A 22,915-nucleotide genomic window follows, 5' to 3' on the forward strand; every position below is an offset into this window, starting at 1 on the left:
AGGGTAAAGATAAAAAAATCTACCTATTAAATACTACGCTTATTACCTGGGTGGTGAAAGAACGTGTACACCAAACCCCAGTGACACACAACTTACGTATACAACAAGCCTGTATATGTACCCTAGAACCTGAAATAAAAGTTAAAAAAAAAAAACAGAACTAGTGTATCTATGGCAATGATACATAGATGTTTTATGTGTTTCTAGAACCATTGGTAAAATTAATTTTTTAAAAATTTGAACCTAAAACATTTTTATTTTAGCATCTTCAAAAATTCAGATATAAATTTCTTTCAACACAGAGCTGTTTATGCATATATTTTTAATTCAATTCTATTTAATGAATGCATTCTCTATTAAACAATAAGTCTCTTACTATGAAATGGAAAATGTGCCAATTGCATGGTATATTTGAATAAATATAATAGGTGTATCATCTACAGCTTTGCTATTCAGTTGTGTGGCCTGGACACGAGCAATATTGGCCCAGCTTGGAAGCTTATTAAAATTTCGAATTTCAAGTCTCTTTCCTAACTACCAAATAAGAAACTTCATTTTAACATGATTCCCCTGTGATTCCTGTGCACATTAAAGCTTCTGAGACATGAACATGAAATAATAGCTTGGGTAGCAAGGATATAGTACACAAATGCTTTCTTAGCAGAAAAACAAAACCGTGCTTAAAATCTAGCTAATTACATTGGAGCAATTTAATTTCTGACCAAAAAGGAATAAGGCTCATGTTATTCAGAACTGTTTAAGAATTGTTTTGCAGGACACTGATCAAAATGTTTTCTATATGATATCTCACAGGATTTAATTCACCCCAAAATACAATCTTACATATTTTCAAGAAAGTTGAGTCTTGTCTTAATTATGTAAATTTAAATTCAGACACAAGTTGTGTGTCTTGGTAAGTCCCACTGACTAGAAAACTAGTGAATTTCCTCTTCGGTAATATTTAAACCCACTAATTTACCTAACGGTTTTATTTTGTTTCAATTGTTTTCTCTATAAATGCAGTATAGCAATATTGAAAAATAAAACTGAGTAAATAAAAATAAATAAATAAAATAAAATAAAATAAAAAATTAGTTTGCTGCAAAACTAAATCAACCAAACTGGAAATCCAGCCTTTTTTTCCCATCCCTGTGGAAATGTTAAACACATTGTCCCCAAGTGAAATACTTAGTAACAGTAAAATTCTCTTGTGATACATGATGCAATATAATTATAGGATTTTTAAAAGAAAGTAGATTATTTTTAGGATAATTTTTGAGCACCTGTCTTGAATAAGGCATTGGCTATTTAACAATAATGGTTTTAAAACTCTTTGTGGGTACTTGCTTCCAAAAGGCAGACATTCTTTCAGGAAGATAGGTATGTAGACCTGGAAAGGTAACTAAGCTTCAGAGTTAACATAAGCATGATAAATGCCAAATAAGTAAGAAATAATGAGTGTTTTACCAGTTCAGTTGAGAAAATAATAATTAATTGGGGGAAAAGTGGCTATAAGAGCTGATTTCTTAAAGGACATTAAATTTAACTTGGGCTTTAAAGGATGGAAAATAATTGGCAAAACAATATAGGATTTCAGCGAAGGGTAACAGCTCAGAAAGATGGAGAGATAAAGTTCCACAGGTTGAAATCGGAGAATTGTCTCAGGAACAGTGAGAGATCTGCTTGGGGCTGTTTTGCATGCGATGGATCTCAATTATTACATACCCTTTCTCACAAAGTCATTTTGAAATGATGAAAAAAAGAAGTTACATAATTATAATCACAAGGAAAAGGGTATCAGCAGTAGACCAAAAATGTTGAGGGATTTCCATAAATAGAAAGTAGAAAGGATAAGAATGACACAGAAACCAAAAGAGAGAAACTCACAGTCTACAGAAAAAATCTATTGCAGTGAGAACTTTTCCTGGTGGAGGTGCAGAAAAACTCCAAGCTCAGATTGAATGAGCACAGAGATGAAAAATGAATTGAGGAGTTATGATCCAATTTATGATACTAATTTACAACTAATTATACTACTATATATTTATATATTAACTAATTAATTAACCAAAGTAAATAAAGATGATTTAATTAAAAATATTCTTGTAACTGGAGCAGAAATAGCTTTCTCCATCCCCATTATACAACTGTAGCTGTTAGCTATAGTAGTTTGCCTCTAGGATAAAGTTTACAATGCACTCTGAAAACAAAATGTGGGATCTTTTTTGAGTGGACTTGTGTTAAGGATCAATGTCAGAGAGGGCAATTCTGAAAAACATTGAGAAAGTCCACAATGGATGAGGAGGAAGTGATTTTCAAAAGGAAAGACAACTTCGTTTGACAGTAAGATATACTAAAGCTCTCTACACTCAATGGCATTTTTTTCTTCTTTTACCAAACGTGAGAACCCTTGACTGCTTGTCTACTTTGTGCCAACCAATCCTGAGAGAAAGTGTGTAAGGCAATAGCTTCCCCTCACTGACACAGTGCCCACAATAGCCCTTCCATCAGGTGAAAGGCCCACTGTAGAAACACACTTGTAGAACTGTAGAGGAAACTCATAGCATCTGACTACCAGTCATTCTAGTAACAGAGAAAAATTAGGAAGGGATCACCAAGGATTACAAAATATTTGAGAAAAACCAACAGCATGCAAGACAAAGATCAAGACAAATAAAGCAAACATCTAAACATCTAGATTTGGAGGAAACAGGTAATACATGAAACAAAGAAGAACTTCAAAACTTTTAAAAATCATTGTCCACACTAAGATTCAAAAGAGTATTACATCCACAAAACAAGAGCTGGCTGCCTCAGAAAAGGAGAAATTAGAATACCTATATACTAAAAACAAAATTACTAAAATAAAATATTTAATATAAAAGTTGACTAATAGAATGGACCTAAATAAAGACTGAACAAATAACCCAGAAGACAGAGTGTAATAAATTCTCTAAATACTAAAGTAAAACAATAAGGGAGTAGATTATATGGGAAAGTCAGCCATGTGGCTAACGTACATATGCTCCTTTGACATTCAACTCGAGTTCCAGATGCAGACAACAGGAAAAATGTGATGAAGAAAATAAAGAAGAAATAACGGAAAAATATTTATCTGAATTGAGGGTTGTGTCAGTGGCTTTTTCTTTGGGGAGCATAAATAGAATCAATCAGACAAATAGGGACACCCCCCGCCTCCAAGAGTACTCAAGAAAGAACAAAGGATGTTTTAATTCTAAGATGAAGACTTTATCAACCTACTCTGCTAGGCTGACTGTTCTCAACTTGGGGTAGGATGGGGTGGGGTTAGGGCAGGTGGATATTTACCCCAGGCAATTTCCAGAGACATACTTCATTATCACAGTTGATAGGAGGTGGGAAGGGAACTTCTGGCTTCTGGTGGGTCCAGACCAGAAATGTTGCTAAACATCCGACAATGCACAGGACAACCATCTGCAACCAAGAGTTGTCCTGTCCAAAATTTTAATAGTGTGGAAGCTGAAAAACTGTGCTGACTGAATTCTCCCCCTACCCCTGAGACCTTAAATGCATTGTGAAAATACTTCCATCCTCCCCAGCACATGCTTTAGAAGACCTTCTTTTTTTCTCCACTCCCAGAAGATTCTTGTTATTTTTATAAAGCTGTTCTCTCAGAAAGTTGATAGTATCCTGAAAGTCAACACCATCCAGTGCTTGATGTCTACGAGATTCGACTCTCTAGGATGCATTGGAGAAAAATCAATCACTTTGACTTTCCTTTACCGGTACTTTTCTGTGTCTACCGCAGGATCATTTAATCCATGTGTTTGTTCTTGTGTCTCCTTGAGATTAAATACAAATTCTTCCTAATTTGCAGAAATCCTTATGCTGTCTGTCTGTATTATGTCCCAGAGTAGTTGGGGATTTTATTCTTTCGGTTGTATATTTTTTTGTCATTTCAATGGCCTTTGCGGAAACAGGAGAGGTAAGCACATATACTCAGATTGCTACTTTTAATGAAATTTTCTGATTATTTTTGAAAACTTACATCCATAAGATTTTAACTATAAAGAACTGAAGAATCACCAGGAACTTGTGAACATTTATGTTTTCAGGGTTTTTTTGTTGTTGTTTAAAAAAAGATGGAAAGTATTTGCTGCGTGTTTTTGAAAATTTAATTTTGATGTTGATATTTTTACAAGATGGAAATTTTCTTCGTAGAATCAGATCTTAAAGTGGAAATTTCTTTTAAAACCGGATATTAATAAACATTATCATAATATTTTATAGCATTTCAGATACAAACTGCTTTCACAATACATTACTCCATCTGAACCTCGCAACTCCAGGAGCAGGTATTGCTATGACCTTTTATCTGTGAGAAAACTGAAGCCTTGAGAGGCTGGTTGATTTTTGAGTGAAGTCACAGAGCTGGATCTAAGCCAAGTCTTCTAATTCTTTATTTAACATACCTGCTGGTCTACCATACTGCTTTCTTACATGGTATCTGTTCCTCCGTTCCATGATAGGGAAGGAGTTATGCAATGATTCAAGTACAGTGTCTTGTATTACACCTTCTTTCTTGATATATCTCCATAGATGCTAGCCACAGAGCCCTATTAACATGAGTATACCACTAGGTCATTGTAAAAAAAAAAAAATCAATAAATAAATGACAATGCTCACAATGTAGAAAAATTTCTAAGGAACCTGAGGCATAGAAGAAGCATAGTCAAACCTAACTTCTCGAGTATCAGATCAAAGAAAAAATAATTTTTGAAGAATTTTCCAAATGTGGCTTAAATCATGCCATGTCGTGTGTACTTCTTCCCAGCATACAAAACCTCACTGTTGTGTCTTTTGATCCATTATTTCCTTGCTTCTACCTTCATTCACTATTTGGGAAGTTAGAAAAATGACTTTTACTCTCCGTTCTACTTTTTTAGAAAGTCATAGCTTTACTCATTGAAGTACTGATTTCTAGTAGAATAAAACTATATGTTAATCATAACCTCCTTTTCCCTTGGAAATTCAGGCAAGTACTGTGATTTATCTTGAAAAATGTGGACTAATAAAAGTCTTTTCTTCTTCTTTTTTCTTTACTAGAACTAGGCCCTGCACTTAGCCCAAAGGGAAGCACCCCTTTTTATTGTTGGCCACACTCAGTGTTGCATGGTCAAAGGAGCATTTACATAAGCCAACAAAAGTTAGCACAGCAGGAACAAGAGAAATATGTGTATGACCCTCCCATGAGAAAAGAAAAATTTCTGTCTTCACTGTTTTTTACAATTAGTATCAGAAATAAAAAATAACTTAAACATTTGTTCAGTATTTAATATGTCAACTATTGTTTTAAAAAATAACCACTTTGCATTATTGCCTAGTCCTCACAAAACTCCATTGAGAATGGTACTATTTTCTCTCTGATCTTACAGATAAAAGAGAAAGGAAGAGAGATACAGTAGTTTGCCTAGCAAGTTGTGAGGTCTGGATTCAAACTCAGTCCAATTACAGCACTTGCTCCTAAATTGTTTAATAATTTCATTTTTTCAGGAATATAGGAAGTTTTCAATATATTATCAAGATCATTTTTTCCATTTCTGACATATTCTTTTCATGGCAAGTTAATATGCTACTGACTTTTTCATATGTGCATCAGAATTATAGATAGAAACATTAATGTAAATTAAATAAAATTGTTATTATATTTACTACTTTTTTTTAACTTCCAGGTTTTTTTGGTGTAGCCAAAGTGCTTGCATTTTCTAATTGGCTCTTGACAGCAGACTGTAACTTAGATACCTAATGGTTTTTTGTCATTTCATTCAATTCTTTCATTTTTATTTGGTTTGTTCCTGGTAAACTCCCTTTCATATGCCCTCAGGGACAGTCCTAAATCTCTACATTGTCCTCTAGATCATTACTGTCACTCTCATCTTCAGCAAATACCTATACCTCCCATTTCATGGCCATCCAGTATGAATGTCTTCAGGTCTTTCATTTTGTTAATATGCTGTGTCAAATTTATTGATTTGGGTATGTTGAACCATCCTTGTATTCTAGGGATAAGTCCCACTTAATCATGGTGAAGGATACTTTTAATAGGCTCTTGAATTCAATTTGCTAGCACAGGTAACCCTTGAACAACATGGGTTTGAACTATGTGAGTCCACTTATATGTGTATTCTCTTCCACCTCTGCCACTCCTGAGACAACAAGACCAACCCCTCCTCACCCTCCTCTTCCTCAGCCTACACAACATGAAGACATTGACAATGAAGTCCTTTATTATGATCCACTTCCACTTAATGAATAGTAAATATATTGTCTCTTTGTTATAATTTTCTTAAAAATGCTTTCTTTTCTTTAGCTTACTTTATTGTAAGAGTATAGTATGTAATACATGTACCATACAACATATGTGTTAATCAACTGTTTATGTTATTGGTTAGGTTTCTGGTCAAAAGCAGGATATTAGTAGTTAAGTTTGGCAGAGTCAGAAGTTACATCTGGATTTTTGGCTGTGTTGGTGGGTATATTTTGGGTCAGCACTCCTAATCTCCATATTGTTCAAGAATCAATTGTATATTGATATTGTCATGCAACAACCATCAACACCATTCATCTCCAAAATTCTTTTCATCTTGTAAAACTGTAACTCCGTACCCATTAAACAATAACTCCCCATTCTCCCTTCCCGCAGCCCCTGGCAACCACCTTTTTACTTTCTATTTTATGATTTTGACTACGATAAGTACTTTATACAAGTGGAGCTTCTTAGATGTTTGTATTTATTTCCTTCATCAAATTCAGGAAATTTTCAAATATGCTGTGACTTTTTATCTCTCTCTTTTCCTTCTAGAATATCCAAGATGTGTATGCTGGTCCGGTTGATAGTATACCACAGGTTCCTTAGTACTTTGTTTACTTTTTAAATTTCTGTTCTTCAGATTCAATAATTTCAATGATCCCATCTTCATGTTTACCAATTACTTCTTTTGACTTCTCAAACCTTCCTTGGAATCTCTCTAGAAAACTTTTCATCTGAGTTGCAGTGGTCCTATATTTTCCACGGGAGATGTTTCAGGCAGTGGATGCCTGGAACTGAAGATAGTACCAAACCCCATTGTCATCAATCAGAACACATTTCTGTTCATGTCTTTCATCCACAAATTTCATGCATTTTTCATCATAACTAAACGATTGTAATGCATTGTGACCACAACTTTTGCAGTTTGAGGTGCAACAGCAAACCCAGTACAAGTATTTTTCTTCTTCATAATTAGAAGATCCATTCTTACAACAGATCTTAGCAACCTCAGCATACAATTTTTTTCTTTCTTAATTAAGCCAAGAACTTTCACCTTTTCACTTAAAGAAAGCACTTTACAGTTTCTCTCTGGTATATCTGAATTGCCAGCCTCACTACTCTTGCACTTTGGGTCCATTATTAAGTAAGATAAGGGTTACTTGAACACAAGCATTATGATACAACAATGATCAATCTGATAACAGAGATGGCTACTAAGTGACTCACGGCAGGTAGAGTATACTGTGGATACACTAGACAAAGGGATGATTTATATCCTGGGCAGAATGGAGTAGGACAGTGAAAGATTTCGCCAACATATTCAGAATAGCATGCAATTTAAAACTTGTAAGTTTTTTATTTTTGGAATTTTCCATTTAATATTTTTGGACCATGGTTGATCGAAGGTAATTGAAACTGGAAAAGAAAGCTACAGATAACTAGGGGACTATTGTACTGTACTTTTTAGCTTCAGACTTTCTTTTTAGTTTCTTTTTAGATTTCCTTTCTCTTTATATTTCCACTTTGCTCATACATCAACTTTCTTGGCTTTTCCAGGTTTTTCTTTAGTTATTTGAGCATCTTTAAGACAACTGTTTTTAAAAAGTTTTTGTATGGTAGATCTGCCATCAGTTCTGTTGGCTCATGTTTTCCTCTGAATGAAACATACTTTCCTGTTTCTTAGTTTGTCTTATGATTTTTTTAAACTGGACATTTAAATCTAGTAGTGTGGTAATTCTGGAAATCAGATTATTCCCCTCCTCAGCGTTTCTTACGGATTTTTGTTTTGTTTTGTTTTGATTTGAGTGTTGTAGGCTGTTACTGTGCTGAGGATAAGGCTGACGTGTAAACAAGGTCTTTTCTGAGCCTCCACCTGTTCCTAGCATTATGGTGACTTTCTAATTTTCCACATATATGCAATTGCTTTTGAATATCCTAGTTTTTCTGGCTCTCAAAAGGGAAAGAAGAGACAAATGAATGGGGAATGGGATACTGACCCTTTAAATCTCCTGGAGGTCACTTCATCTGGAGGGAAAAGGGCTTCCAAAAGTTCAGAGAAGTACAACAGTAACAGATGCCCATCTCTGGTGTTTGTACTTCCATAATCAGAAGGAGCTATCAGTGATTAGAACACAGATCTCCAGTATTGGAGGATAGGATCCTTATTGCCCACCTTGGCTCCTGCAAGTCCTGTGTAAGCTGCTCCAAGAACACATGCACAGCTGCCCGCCACAAATCTGGGGGTATGGGGTGGGTGGCTGCTGTCAAGCTAAAAGCTGACATTGACTGAAGTTAACCATAATTTACCATCCATGTCTTCTCCTGGAAGTTGCAAACCTTCGATTCCAGATTTCCAAAATGGTTACATCGAACAGATTCTGCCACTGTAGATGCCTGGCTGGGGAGATGGATGCCTGGTGCTTTCTATTCTGCCATCTTTCCAGAACCCTCTCATGCCCAAATAAGCCTTTGTAAGGGTCGTCAATAGCTTCTTATACCCGTAATAAATACAAAGACTCTAGGATGAGAATAAAATTTTCACAAAATGCTTTTTAAAGTGTAGATAAAATATTATGTAAGACCATTGTCCTACTGTTTGCTCCATACATTTATACAACTTTAAGTCTTTTTTTCAGTGGTACCAAAATATGCCCTAATATATATGCCAATGAATTGATATTGAAGACTGCTAACAATTTTCATTTTCTATATTCTTTCCTATAGATTATTCTATTTGATGACTCTCCATCTCAAACATAATAGGAGTGTGCTTCCCCTCTGGGTTTCATAAATTTCCATTGGCAGAAATGATTTTCCCTGTCTGGCAATATTGTCTGTGCTAACCAAAGTATTTGCTCTCCCAATTTAGATTTTGAAGTTGGAAGAAGTGGCAAAATGTGAAAAGCAAGAAGCAAGTATTACCAGAGACACCTATGAAAAAGAAATCTTTCTGAAGAACATTTTTAAAGTGCCATAATCTGTTCGGTAAGAATGAAATTAATGCACAAAACTGATAAAAATGGACTACCTGGATGTAGTTTCTGAAATGGCAGGGTATGTGTTCTGGTGTAAAGTACAAAATACATGGCCTAACCTGAGTAATTTTGTCTCTTTGTTTATGATTTTGAACAATGGTGTAGAAGAGACAGGGGATTCTTCTTTCCCCTGGAAAACCCCTATTTCTTCCCTCTTAGAATTGAAAGGGGCTACCTTTGTGTTATGAGGCTACTGGGGAATTTCAGCTAACTCCTGTGGGGAAAGAGATGGAAGCAAGCATTCCTCACAATCCCACTAATCAACCACGGGTTTCTTATGAGCATCTATAGGATTCCCACAGGTCCCACTGAGGGATAAGTGGTCAAAATAGAATCCCCACATTTAGTCATACTTACTATACTGCCTGTTGCTAACTGTAACAACTGTTCATTCCCCTGAAGCCTGGAGCCAACTGGCATGGGCTAGAAGTTAAGAAACAGCAGGAGGCCTTCATGGTCACCATAGCTTCCTGGTGACCATCTAATATAAAATTAGATAGAATAGTATTTTCTTTTAAGCCGAAAATAAATTTTAGCAGTGCTCTTATTGGTTAGTAAAAACTGCATTTGCATTGGTGACACAAACATTGTTATGTTATTCTAGTCTAACGAGAAACCATCTCAGCAAAGATCATTAGAAAATCATTTTAGAAACCACTAAGTCTTTAGCATAATTTTAAAAAATAAATTCAAGAGTCTGTCATAATATTGCTCAACCTAACCAAATGAGAATTTTAACAATAGAAAAGGCATTTTCAAAATAATAATCAAGCCTGTGATAAATGAGTTAGAAGTATGTGCAGGACATCTTCAGTTTGCCCCTCAGATCCTGTACTCATTCTTCATTCAGTTCTGGCCAGTCCTTTGGCCAGTCCTGGGAAGCTGGCCAAAGGAAGGGGAGAGAGAAGAAAAAGAAGCTGGACTATTTCTTCTCCTCTCCCTCCTTATGTGACAATTAATTTCATATGTCAACTTTGCTGGGCTGCACTGCCCAGATATGTGGTCAAAAATTATTCTGGATGCTCCTATGATGATGTTTTCAGATGAGATTTAACATTTACATTGCCGAACTTTGAGTGAAACAGATTGTCCTCCATAATATGAGTGGGTTTCATCCAATCAATTTAAAGCCTGAGAAGAGTAAAAGACTGACTTGCCCCAGAGCAGGAGGGAATACTGGCAACAAATTGCCTTCACATTTCAGGCATGAACTACAGCATCAGCTCTTCCTAGGTCTCCAGCCTGCGGGCCACTCTGCAGATTTTGAACTTGCCAGCCTCCATCATCGCATGAGCAAATTCCTTAAAAAATTCACACACACACACACACACGCACACGCACACACATGCACACACATACGCACACACATGCACACACATATTCTATTAGGTCTATTTCTCTGGAGAACCCTCATACATCCTGCTTCAGCTCTGAGAGTCAGGAAATAGAAGCATACCCCCCTCTCATACTATAGCTTAGGTAAAATAGCCCCTTCTCCTCTGGTCCAGCTTTCACTAGGTCAATCTAGTGTCTCTTGTTCTTTGATCATAAGGGTAGTATTATTTCCCCGTGTAGCTAGTCTCTTGTGTCTTACCATCCTTTAATTCCCAGCACTGCCCATACTTCTGAAAGCAGTACTTTCATTTTCAACTCAGAGGTTGAGCCTGGTTTCTCAACTCAAGCTGCATATTAGAATCAGCTGGGAAGCTTTTAAGAAATCCCAACAGCCAGGCCACAAACCAGACCAACTAATGCAGAACCTCTGAGGGTAGAACACAGGCATGTATACTTTTCAAAGCTCCCCAAGCATTTCCAATGTACAGCCAAGACTGAGAACCACTGCATCAATGTCTCTTCATTTGAACAATTTGAGATGAATGTTGTTTCCAGCCAGAACCTGAACAAATACACTATCATCAAAAATATATATATTTGCTTAAAATCCTACAAGCACTTGTCACCAGTACTTTTCATATGATTATTTTCTATATTGCCATATATTGTTATTTTGTTATCTCACTTTTAAGACTGTAACTGATTTTTTTTTCTCTCCCATTCTCTCCATATGTTCCAGCTCATGGCCCATAGTGTTGGTGAGGCCAACACTATAGCTGCAAGCACTTACTTCATTTAAGAAGTTTATCGAGAGCTTTATAAATAAATTCTGTTCTCCATCTACTATGCAAATAAAACTGCTGTATCTCATTTTGTGTGTAATAAATGTGAATGCAGAAAGCAACCTTGCTTAATGAGATATCTTGCCCAGGTCATAATCTCTTTGGTATTTGCCATTCTCCATCACTATCCGTTATTACCTATCACTCATCTTCATAGAGCAAATACATCATCTTTCATCAGGAAATGGATTACATTGAGGGGAAGAATATGCTCTTTGTCTTCCAAAGAAGAAAAGATGAAGGAATGAGTTGAGGGACTTAGGAACAAACAATAACTATATGCTAGATGACCTCCTAGGCATTTTACAAATATTACCACATTTAATATGCTTTTTAATTTAGTTTTCACAACAAATGAATAAAGTTTTATCATCTCTCTTTACACAGGTGAATCCAAAGGCTGAAAGAGACTGAGTAACAGCTATTAAGTAAGGTAGTAGAGCCCACTTTTACTCTGCTAAAATTCTGAGCTAAAGACTAGCATAGGCTGGGCGCAGTGGCTCACGCCTGTAATCCCAGCACTTTGGGAGGCCAAGGCGGGCATTATCACCTGAGGTCAGGAGTTCGAGACCAGCTTGGCCAACATGGTGAAACCTCATCTCTACTAAAAATAAAAAAATAGCCAGGTGTGGTGGCACACACCTGTAGTCCCAGCTACTCAAGAGGCTGAGGCAGGAGAATCACTTGAACCTGGGAGGTGGAGGTTACAGTGAGCCAAGATCACACCACTGCACCCCAGCCTGGGCGACAGAGTGAGACTCTGTTTAAAAAGAAAAGAAAAGAAAAAGACTGGCATAAATGCCTAAGTTTTTTTTTTAATCCCTTTTGTTACAGCTATGACATCACTCTTCAATATAAATTCATGTCCTTGCATGTGCAAGTTAATCAAAAGTTAAGCAAGAAGTGTTTGTCTTAGTAAGAATTTTGGTTCATTATAGACCTAAGAATGAAAATTTCAAAGTCCAAGGCTTAGGATATGACCTATTTCTACAGGAGATACTAACCGGGGATACAGAAGGTTTACCTTAGTCAAATCATTCCTTCATTTCTTTATCTAACACCATTGCTTTATTTCAAAGTCAAGACGAAATTTGAAACTGAACGTGGATTCTGTGCTCTAACAAAGTTCTGTGACCTTAACATATGTACCCAGACTTTTACCACTCACAGTCATCTCCCAGACAGAGGAAATGACTCATCTTTTTTAAAAAATGGAAGTCTTAAAGCTAACATAAAATATCCCATGACAAAAATATCTTTTTATATGTAATATAGGAAGTATGAACTTGTGTATTTTTATAAATGTAATTCATTTTCAGATCTTTAATTCTCAAGTATCTCTGTCAAAATTTCATCCAAAGTAAACCCATAACTGAAAAATAGACTATTAACAGAAAGGAACAGCTATTCTTGGGTTTAATTACATATATAAGTTTTATATAAAAATTTTGAACTTATTTAAAAATGTGCATCTATTACAACACCATAACTCCAAATTCCGCAAAATTTTTAAAATTGTTGAAAATAATGGTGTACTTTATTTGATTACAAATAAGGTATGATTAATAAAATACGACCAAACTAATTTTGTACTTAAAAATTTAGACAATTTAAGACTCAATTTGAAGGGGTCAATTGAAATTACTAAAATTCAGACTGACCTCACCATGAACATTCAGCACGAAAAAGCCATTTTCAAGGAGCTAATGTCCAATATACTTTTTTTTAAGATGGAGTTTTTAAAGACGGAGTTTCGCTCTTTCACCCAGGCTGGAGTGAAGTGGCGCGATCTGGGCTCACTGCAACCTCGGATCCCCGGGTTCAAGTGATTCTCCTGCCTCACCCTCCCGTGTAGCTGGGATTACAGGCGCCTGCCACTACGCCCGGCTAGTTTTTTGTACTTTTAGTGGAGACGGGGTTTCACCATGTTGGTCAGGCTGGTCTCAAACTCCTGACCTCAGGTGATCCACCTGCCTTGGCCTCCCGAAGTGCTAGGATTACAGGCGTGAGCCACCGCGCCCAGCCCACAGCATACATTTTTATATGATAAGGTACATCATCTCAGAAGACAGACAGAATAGCTTCAGATATGAACCTCAGAAAGAAGTTCAAAAGGCAAAGAGATCTGCTTCAAAAAGAAAAATCAAAAGTTGAAGGTCTTGCTCCAAAAGAGGGATTTAATTTAAATTACTCCAAAAAGAATGACTGACTGATATCCAAAGAAGAAAAAAGTCTTTGCATTCCTGACATCTGATATCTTAATGCATGATACATAAAAAGCAATATATTTCAAGGACACACTAATAATCCCCCATGCAAAGGGGGGATTATCCTCCAGGGGGGGAATGGGGGGAGAGAGAGACACAGAGAGAGAGAGAGAGAAAGTACATACACAAGCCTGCCTGTTACTGGAGGAGCATGGGTGCCAGGATCTTTGACCCAAGGGTCCAAAAGCTTGGCTGAATACAGCATTTCAGTTGTGCCCTGAAGTGAAAGCAGTAAAATAAAGACCAAAGAAAGCTCTACGTTTAAAGTCAAGACCAAATTGCATAAGAACCAAGGATGTAACCTAGGATAAATGCCTAGCAGAACAAAAAAACACCCAGCATTTTGAAGGTGATGGCAGGCTGTGAGAAGGCAGGTTGTAGAAATGATGAGGTTGTTTTATGGCATGCTTTTATTGGCTGTATTAGAGAGAATGTGAGGGTGGGTTGGGTATGTCCTTGAAGTTATAGGACTTTGGTTTAAATAAACTTTGTTGCACATCCAGTAATAATAGGCAAGCCATTTCTTATTCTTGGTTTTTATTTTCTTCTCTTTTGTTCTGGCTTTTTTTCCATAATTCCTGCCTTAGTTAATGACACCACCACTTCCCTCTTGGAGCAACCCAGAAAGAAGGGAGTCATCCTAACTCTTCCTCCTGCCACCACACGTAATCTTTGTCTTTAAACAGACTCAGTGTGTTTCACTTAAGTAAATATATTTGGAAAGAAAACTTCATATTACTTACTAAAAGGGAAAATGACTATTAGTTCTATAAAAGAAATCTATTTTTTTTAAATTAATGAAAATGAAATTACATCATTAAATGTTGGCAGAAATTCATTTACTCTTTGTTAGAAAGGCTGATTGGAAAATACCATTTAAGGCCAGGCACAGTGGCTCACACCTGTAATCCCAGCATTTTGGGAAGCTGAGGTGAGTGGATCACCTGAGGTCAGGAGCTCGAGACCAGCCTGCACAACGTGGCAAAACCCAATCTCTACTAAAAATACAAAAACTTAGCCAGGCGTGGTGGCGGGCGCCTGTAATCCCAGCTGCTTGGGAGGCTGAGGCAGGAGAATCACTTGAACCCGGGGGGCGGAGGTTGCAGTGAGCTGAGATTGCACCACTGCACTCCAGCCTGGGCGACAAGAGTGAAACTCCATCTCAAAAAAAAAAAAATACCATTTAAGACACAGATTAGCATCAACCTAAGCCTTTCTCCGGAAGTTAATTAGAGGGGGTAACAGATAATTAAAAATTTTTTTAAATCATGCGACAATATGATTTCATGCTTCATCCTCATACAACCAAAATGTTATTTGTGAATGAGTCCCACACTTTGGGAAGCACTAGACTATGATATACAATTCAAACTCAGTAGCCTGCTATGATCTTACTCCCAATTCCCTTTTGATCTGATTTCCTGCCACTCCACAAGCCATATTTACAACTCTATTCCTGCTAAAGGACGTATCATTTGGCCCTGGGCATTCTCCATTGTGTCTACTGAGAAACCTATTAGGCCTCTGAAGAGGTTCTTGATGTAAAGTTTTCAGACCCCACCCAGGCACCTTTCTCCTTAGTATGAGCAAAGGTTATCACCTTGACCAAACGCTAGCAGGCTCCTCTGAGTTCTCTTGTTGACTAGGACTCAAGCTTACCTTTCTAGGTTGAACAAACACTAAGGCAGTTTCTAACAGCTCAACATTGTTTACTTAGGATGAGCCTATCCCCCACTTAAAGTCCAAGCCTGATAAAGAATTTCCTGTTGTCCCAGCCAACACCTGGAGACCAGCATCCCGCTTTCCAGTCTCTGTGGGAGGGGAGGAGCCGAACTTCAATAAACACCAGTAAACAAAGCTAGATGGGTTTCACGTGGACTAACCTCGTTTCTGGATTTTTGTAATTTTTCATTTTCCTGAAAAACTATGGAATCCCAACTCACCTTCTCCCTGCTCCTTCATTCTCCCATTAAAATACCTAATCACCTCTGTACAGGTCATTGTTGAGCTTAGTTCACGTTGCACTCTTTTCCCTATTGTAATACTATATATTAATTCTTACCATTTTATTTAGTGTCCAGCATTGTTTATCTTTCGCAGCATTTCATAGCTACTTCTAATGCACTATATTCTCATTATTCATTGAACTATCACTCTCACCCGCTATGCTGTGTTCTGTTTTGTACTCCGAGTCCTGAGGTCAGCCCCAGTATTGGGATCACTCCTGTAATCCCAGCACTTTGGGAGGCCGAGGAGGGTGGATCACGAGGTCAGGAGATCGAGACCATCCTGGTGAACACGGTGAAACCCCGTCTCTACTGAAAATACAAAAAAAAGTTAGCCGGGCTTGGTGGCGGGCGCCTGTAGTCCCAGCTACTCGGGAGCCTGAGGCAGGAGAATGGCGTGAACCCGGGAGGCGGAGCTTGCAGTGAGCCGAGATGGCGCCACTGCACTCCAGCCTGGGCGACAGAGCGAGACTCCCTCTCCAAAAAAAAAGAAAGGGGGAACTAAGTTACCTGACTGCTATGAACAGGGTCATGAGGAGAGACTCTAACACATTGCTTTAGTTTTGTTTCAACTTCCAAATCATAAGAGGGACATTACACATTGCATTCAATTCTATAGTGTAAAAATAAAATAAAAATATCAGCTTACTTTCCTTCTTTCTTAGTTTGTCGGTATCATTTTTAATTCTAATGTTTTGTTAAACCTCACACCTTCCTCTTTTGAATTTCTACTTCCTTTTAAAATGGCAATTGCCTTTTTATTTTCATATCTTTTGTCTTATATTAGTAAGAGCATTTCTCTAATTATAACATGGGGAATTTACATGTGGGTTACAGGGGAGACTAGATTTTTACATCAAAATTAATTTTGTTTTATTTGCTCCTAATTTATAGGTGAAAATGTTATTTTACATGGAAACCTATTTTGTTCCATAAAACTAAATAAACCATAACCCAGAAGTGCAATGAGACACACACAGCATGACCACATTATTTCTGAAAGCTGAAGAGTTGCCAGTCTGTTGATCTCAAACTTCATGAACCACACAGTTCAGTTCAAATTGTTTCCCTGAAATTGCTTTGAGCCTCTGCCAAACAGCCACTGAAGGACTCCGAAAAATACAAGGTAAGGAGATGGCACCTAAGAACATTTTTTTAAAAATGTTAACTCTTTTATTGAAGTTTATTTCATTGCTTTTATCAAAGAGACTGATGTCACATCAGACATTTCCTCACCTAAAGGTAACACGCAATAATTGCCATGATAGCATACTATTCAGAACATGGAACCAAATGTGTGGCCTGCATGGGCATTCTTCCTTTGCCAATGAATTGCAAATGCTTCTTTCTATCTACAAGTGTACCAACGTTAAACATTAAATGTGGAGGTCTTATAGTGGGTTGATCTTTAGAAAATCAGGTCTCCTTTCTGTTTTCAGTTGCTGCCAGCATCACCTATCCACAGAATCAATGTTAATGATGTTAATGAAACCAGGCAATATATTAAAAGCTCTAGCCACAATCATTAACTCGAGTCTGGAGTAAACCATGTATTCCAGGGCCCAGTATGCAGAGCGCCTGTGAGGTGTCAGCAAGCTGCAGATATCCAACAATGCTGTTACCTAAACTTCACTTTTGTGTGCCTGTCATTGTAGGCATCCTCCACTCCACACCCTAAGCTAAACCATCACTTGTTGAACAGGGGCCCTGCCTCATGACTAGTATTTGGCCTTGAACTTCACACTCCGTTCCCTAGACACTGGCTGGAGCTTTGCTTCTAACTGAATGGGCCTTATCTTTCTCTTGCCTAGCACTAAAGCCCTAACATTGCCTGCAATTCCTATTGTCATACCCTCCCCACCAGATTCCAACCCCTGATAAATCATTCCTGGCCCAGAAACATAGTTCCACTACCCTGGGATATGATGATTTGGAATGCTGGTGACTCACCCGACTTTTAGACCCTTAGTGCTAACCCCTTTGTTCTTTCTTACTTCTTTTTCCCTGACTTAAGACCCAGCATATGTCAAAGCAGATATGGTATGTAAGATAATGTCAGTGTGCAAAAAGCACTCATCGTATGAAGAAACTTAAGTGTATCTTTTAAGTCAATGCAAATAATCACCACAATTAATATGTTTTGTGGATTTTAACTTTTTTAATGAAAACAAACTTTTGCATTTTCTCTAATGAGAAAAAAGTATAGTTTCCTTTTGTTTTATTTATTTTTTCATCATTTGATAAGGCACAGGATCAAGTTATTCTTTTTGAGATGCCATAATATGCTAGGTATTGGAATGGCCAGCTAGCACTTGCATTGTATAGTTAACATTGTGCTATAAGCGTGGTTCTTTCTAAAAGCTTTCAGTACTGTTTATAGTTTGTGCTACCCAGTTCCCATGGTAACGTGTTTGTTCCCATGGAGAAACAAAGTGAACACCTAACCAGAGCTGAACTTGAAGATATAAAACTTCACTCAGTAGATAATTTGCTCAGAGGCTATTAAGGAGGAGAAGGAGAAAACAGAAGAACAGAAAATATATCTAGGTTTCTAGTTCCAGTTCAAAGTTAAGAAACTACTGATTTACTTTGACCTGCTATGTAACAAATCATTCTTGGTGTCATTATTTGCAACTTTAAGGAGACCTTTTTTTTTTTTTTCTCAAAAGCAATTTTAAAAGTAACTACTTAGACAAAGGGCCCTTTTTAATGGTGATTTGATAGTTTATCTTAGCAATTTGGTCCTTGTAGTTGCAAACTGTATTTCCATATTTCAAGAATTTTTAGAATTTTCATAAAACCATCTAAATTCAAGTAAACTTGATTTCTTAAAAAAACTATAAACTAAAGCAATAAGAATGTGAGCAAATGATCATAAGATTATCTTTAATGAAAACAGATTCTTTGCTTTCTTTAATGCCCAGAATTTTTCAAGCCTAGCTATTGCCAGTTTATGCCATTTGAAAAAAGCTTGAAAGCTGCAAAAGGATGTAAATTTAGCTGCTTTGGTTTAACGTGAGGAAAGTTGATAGCCTTTGTTAAGGCTGACACTACCATGCCAAATTCCTAACAACGTTACAGCAGGACTTTGAATGCCAGTAAAATAATTCACATCCATTTGCAAGCTCCAGTCAAGTGGCATAAACTCCACTTGTAGAAGACAAAGCAAAATGACTGGGCTCCTCCCGTGGCTCTGGCTCTTCACTCTGCTGCCGCCCTCCCTCCCGAATGTTGATGTTTTCTCCCCCCACTTTATAATCTAGACACTTGCTCCCTTTCCATTTGATACTACTTCTTTGTTTGCTGTTCTTCAGCCCTCTTTGTGCTTTTCTGACCTCCTTTTTTTCCATTCTGTGCCGCTGTTCCTGTTCTACATTTCATCATTTTTTTCTCCGGCTTCACTTTTGTGCATTACACTCTTCCCACTTCAATCTTTAGCCATTTTTGTATTGTCCCGACTTTCATTCTTCTTATTTACCTTTAGTTTATATTCTTTCTGACCGCCTTTTCTTCTTCTCTTTGCAGCCCCTCTATTAGAAGTTCGGCATTTTGCTCCAACTTAAAAAAAAAAATGTATTGTTGCTGGATGACATTCTTTTCTCACTCCTTCTGTGTATTATTTTTCAATAGTTGTTTAAATCCCAGTCCCACTGACTTCGTGCAAAGGATTATGATTAAAGCGATTTTGAGTATTTCTTTAATATAGTAAAATGTGAAAAAAAGTTGCCTTAGAAAACAGCATTCTAAATAGACTGCCTTTAAAAATAAATAAATAAATAAATAAATAAATATCTGTCCCATTTGTAGATTCACAGGGAATAAAATCAATGAGATCTGCCAACTTCTATACTTGTCTACATCAGACATCATTCACCCCAATGAAATAGTGAAGAGTGGGACTCAAATTGGCAAGTCTATCCTGCTGAATTGTTGCCACTCAAGATAAAAATAACTTTCTCACATTGTATGGTCCACTAGCAAGCAGCAGAATAATGGTGTATCCCAAGATTAACTGTGGTTTCTGAAGCAATTATTGTAGGGAGATGGAACAGAAAGGTTTTTTCTCTTACTTACTTTTGTGTGGTATTGGAGACAGGAGGCATGTCCATCATTTTATACTGCTTATTACATACGAAAAATCAAATAATGAAAGCTTTCACAATACGGAGGTTTTCTCTAACCTCCTATCATCAAATAGGCATACACTTTGAATTGATTTTTTTTTAAGTTTTGGGAATTGGATGTTCATCTTTCTTTTATTGACTTTCATCTCATTTTCAAAAGTGTGCAATAGTATATTGCACGTGAAAGTAAATGGCCCACTAAGATTGAAATGCATTGCTTTGAACTAAAGAGATATAAATTCTAATATCTGAATTCTTCATGGCTATATACATGTATACTAAGTCCTTTTGCATAGTGGCTGACTCTTTACGCTTTTGGCATATTTGAAGTTAAATTTTAATTCATATTACATTTATTAAGTACTAAGAAGACACACTCACCTACTATTTTAGAATTGTTTGTAAGTTTTAGGTCTTGTAAGTTTATGAAAACAACACTGACACACCATAATATATACTGGTTTCATAGCACTTAACAGATTTGGTAAATTTTACCTACAAGAAAATCAGTTCTTTGAGTTTTTCTTAGGTTACTGATTTTGCATTTAAAAGTTTTTACCTTGATTAAAGACTCCAGGTTTTCTGGGGGACTGTGTAGTTGACTTAAAAACTAACCACTATTATACAAAATTTTAGTTGAGAGAAACTATCTGTGTCTTCTTTTTTTTATTGCTATGATTATAGAGCCAACACACACAATCATGTAGGTTGAGCACTGCCAGGGAGCCCTTCTCAACCTATGTGTGGGGCTTCATATATAGTGGGATTCATTTTGCAATTCCCACTGAAACTATGCCATGAGTTTGCTCATCAGATGGAAAAAAAATTTCTGCTTTGATAATGTCGAATGAAGTATTGCTTTACTCTGTAAATGTATAAAATGTAACATTTTAGGGTTGAGGGGACACTTAGAGATCTTCTGGTTCTCCTCTTTGGTTTCATAGAGAAGGAAAATGCCCCCACAGAAATCATGACTCCTTACCACAATTTTATCACCATATATATACCCTAAGAGTCAAGATTAGAGATGGCTCTCCTGATCCCTGGCCTTGGGAATATCGCTTTAAAACCATTCAAGGCGACATAGAAAATATTACATTTCTATCACATAATTCCGTAGATACAACCTTCTAAGTTTTTAGCTTAATTTTCTTCCTAGACAATTTTGTATTGTAAATTACTAGAGGACAGAAATAATTTCTGGATAATTCTGTGGGCAGCTTGCTATGTAATCCAGCAACATGCTAAGTAGGCTTTTTTTTGAGAAAGGATGTCACCATCTTCATTGATTAATGTAGTGGAAAATATTTAGAAAAGGAGCTGTTTCATGCTACTCTGGCATCTATTTTGTGAAAGTATAATTTTGGAATATTGACATTAAATAACGGAACTAGAGTTTCTTAAGAATTACAATCTTTACTTTCCCATTAGTGTATTGGGAAACTTCACTAGTTTATTCATCTTCTCTATGGAGGTTTTCTTTATTACTATCAACCCACACTTTCTCTTTTCTTCTTTTTTATTACTCAACACCAATGTGTGGTTTTTAATGAATTATTTTAATTTGTTCCTGTTCTCTTGCTGCATCTAGAGAGATTGTCAACTCCTTGTGTACTGAGGTTGTCGTTTACTTTGTTTTCGCTTCTCTATGATGCTGGGTGTGTATACAGCCATTGCTAAATGTGTACTACTTAAGGTGACAAGAATTGAGCTAGAAACACTTCATCAAAAAGTCCTGACTAATTAGAAGCAACTACCAAATGTAGTCTATATTGCCAAAAAGCCTTATCAAAAAGTGTATCATGAATCTAAATGCAAACAGAATTAATGGTTAATGAGAAAATTTTTACATAAATATTACTCTAAAACAATATCTAATAGTGATGTCTAAAACTTTTTGAGTAGATTAATGCATACTGATTAAAAGAACAAACAAGGAGTTGAAACGAGTGCATGTCATCACAAAATCATAATGCCTTTTAAAAAACATTTTATCCTTTTCTTTTTTTCTAGAACTGAAAGGGGCACATGGCAGATACAATCATAAACTTTCATTTCGGAGAGCAGTAAAAAAGGAGAAGAAGAACACACTGGTACTCCAACAAGTCATAGTTTCTGCCAGATGTTGCAAAAGTGAGTTAGATAACTGACCTTTCTTCTGGGGCCTGTGTCAACTTTGAATGGAGCTTTCAATTGTACAATAAGCATCTGGACAGTTTTGACATCTTTATAACACTCTTTGAGTTCTTAAAAAGCTACCATTTTGTTTAAAGATGATTTATGTGAAGATTAAAACAATTACTTAAGTGCTAAGAATAATTAATCCTGTAACTCCATATCAATACCATTATCTTCCCAGAACTGGGTCTCTAACTACTAATCATAATCAAGACACCAACTGTCAAATCAAATCAAAATTAAAATTTGATTAATTATTTGATGATATTAACATTCAAATCTAGTTCCTTCTTAGGCCTAATTTTGTCCTTATGTTTGCTTTGCACTGAATTATTGTGGTTTAAATAGCCCATTTTACATGACAACTTTCAAACAAGAGCATAAATTCTCATAAAAACAGGCTAAGGAATTCATAATGATAGCTCTTGGCCGCCACCTAAAGGTTTATTTCTTGTTTTATTTTACATGAGACCTACTATGCATTCCTTTTATAATAAAATTGTTGTCTTGTCATCACATGTTTCTGCATAAGTACAGGGTAAAAAGACTTTTTCAAGTTTGTTTTTTCACCTTTATGTAGTTAAATTAACAGCATATATAATTATATCTACTTTTCAATTCATTCAACACAACACACACAAAGAAAACCAGTTTAAACAAGGTTCTTTTAAATGGTCAGAAAATTTTTATGCGTTTAAGAAATAGTGTGTTCTTATTATGTATCACCCCCCACACCTAAGGCCCGTAATGAAAGAAATTTAACTAAACTCACATTTACTGAACCACTGTTGAGTGTAATGTAATAGAAAACTCCTCAAATTCCATCAAGAACATTAACA

At 36.5% G+C, this 22,915-nt stretch overlaps 1 long non-coding RNA gene across 1 annotated transcript; it reads left to right on the forward strand.

Annotated features, from left to right (window-relative positions):
* Window positions 1-7,584: 7,584 nt before the first annotated feature.
* On the forward strand, window positions 7,585-22,589 carry LOC101927769 (uncharacterized). Its single transcript, NR_110117.1, has 5 exons — window positions 7,585-7,636; window positions 9,159-9,274; window positions 11,889-11,934; window positions 16,669-16,900; window positions 21,912-22,589. It is a non-coding gene; the product is annotated as an uncharacterized LOC101927769 (long non-coding RNA).
* The last annotated feature ends 326 nt before the right edge of the window (window positions 22,590-22,915 follow it).

The sequence above is a fragment of the Homo sapiens genome, chromosome 7 (assembly GCF_000001405.40).
Source record: "Homo sapiens chromosome 7, GRCh38.p14 Primary Assembly".
Classification (NCBI taxonomy): domain Eukaryota; kingdom Metazoa; phylum Chordata; class Mammalia; order Primates; family Hominidae; genus Homo; species Homo sapiens.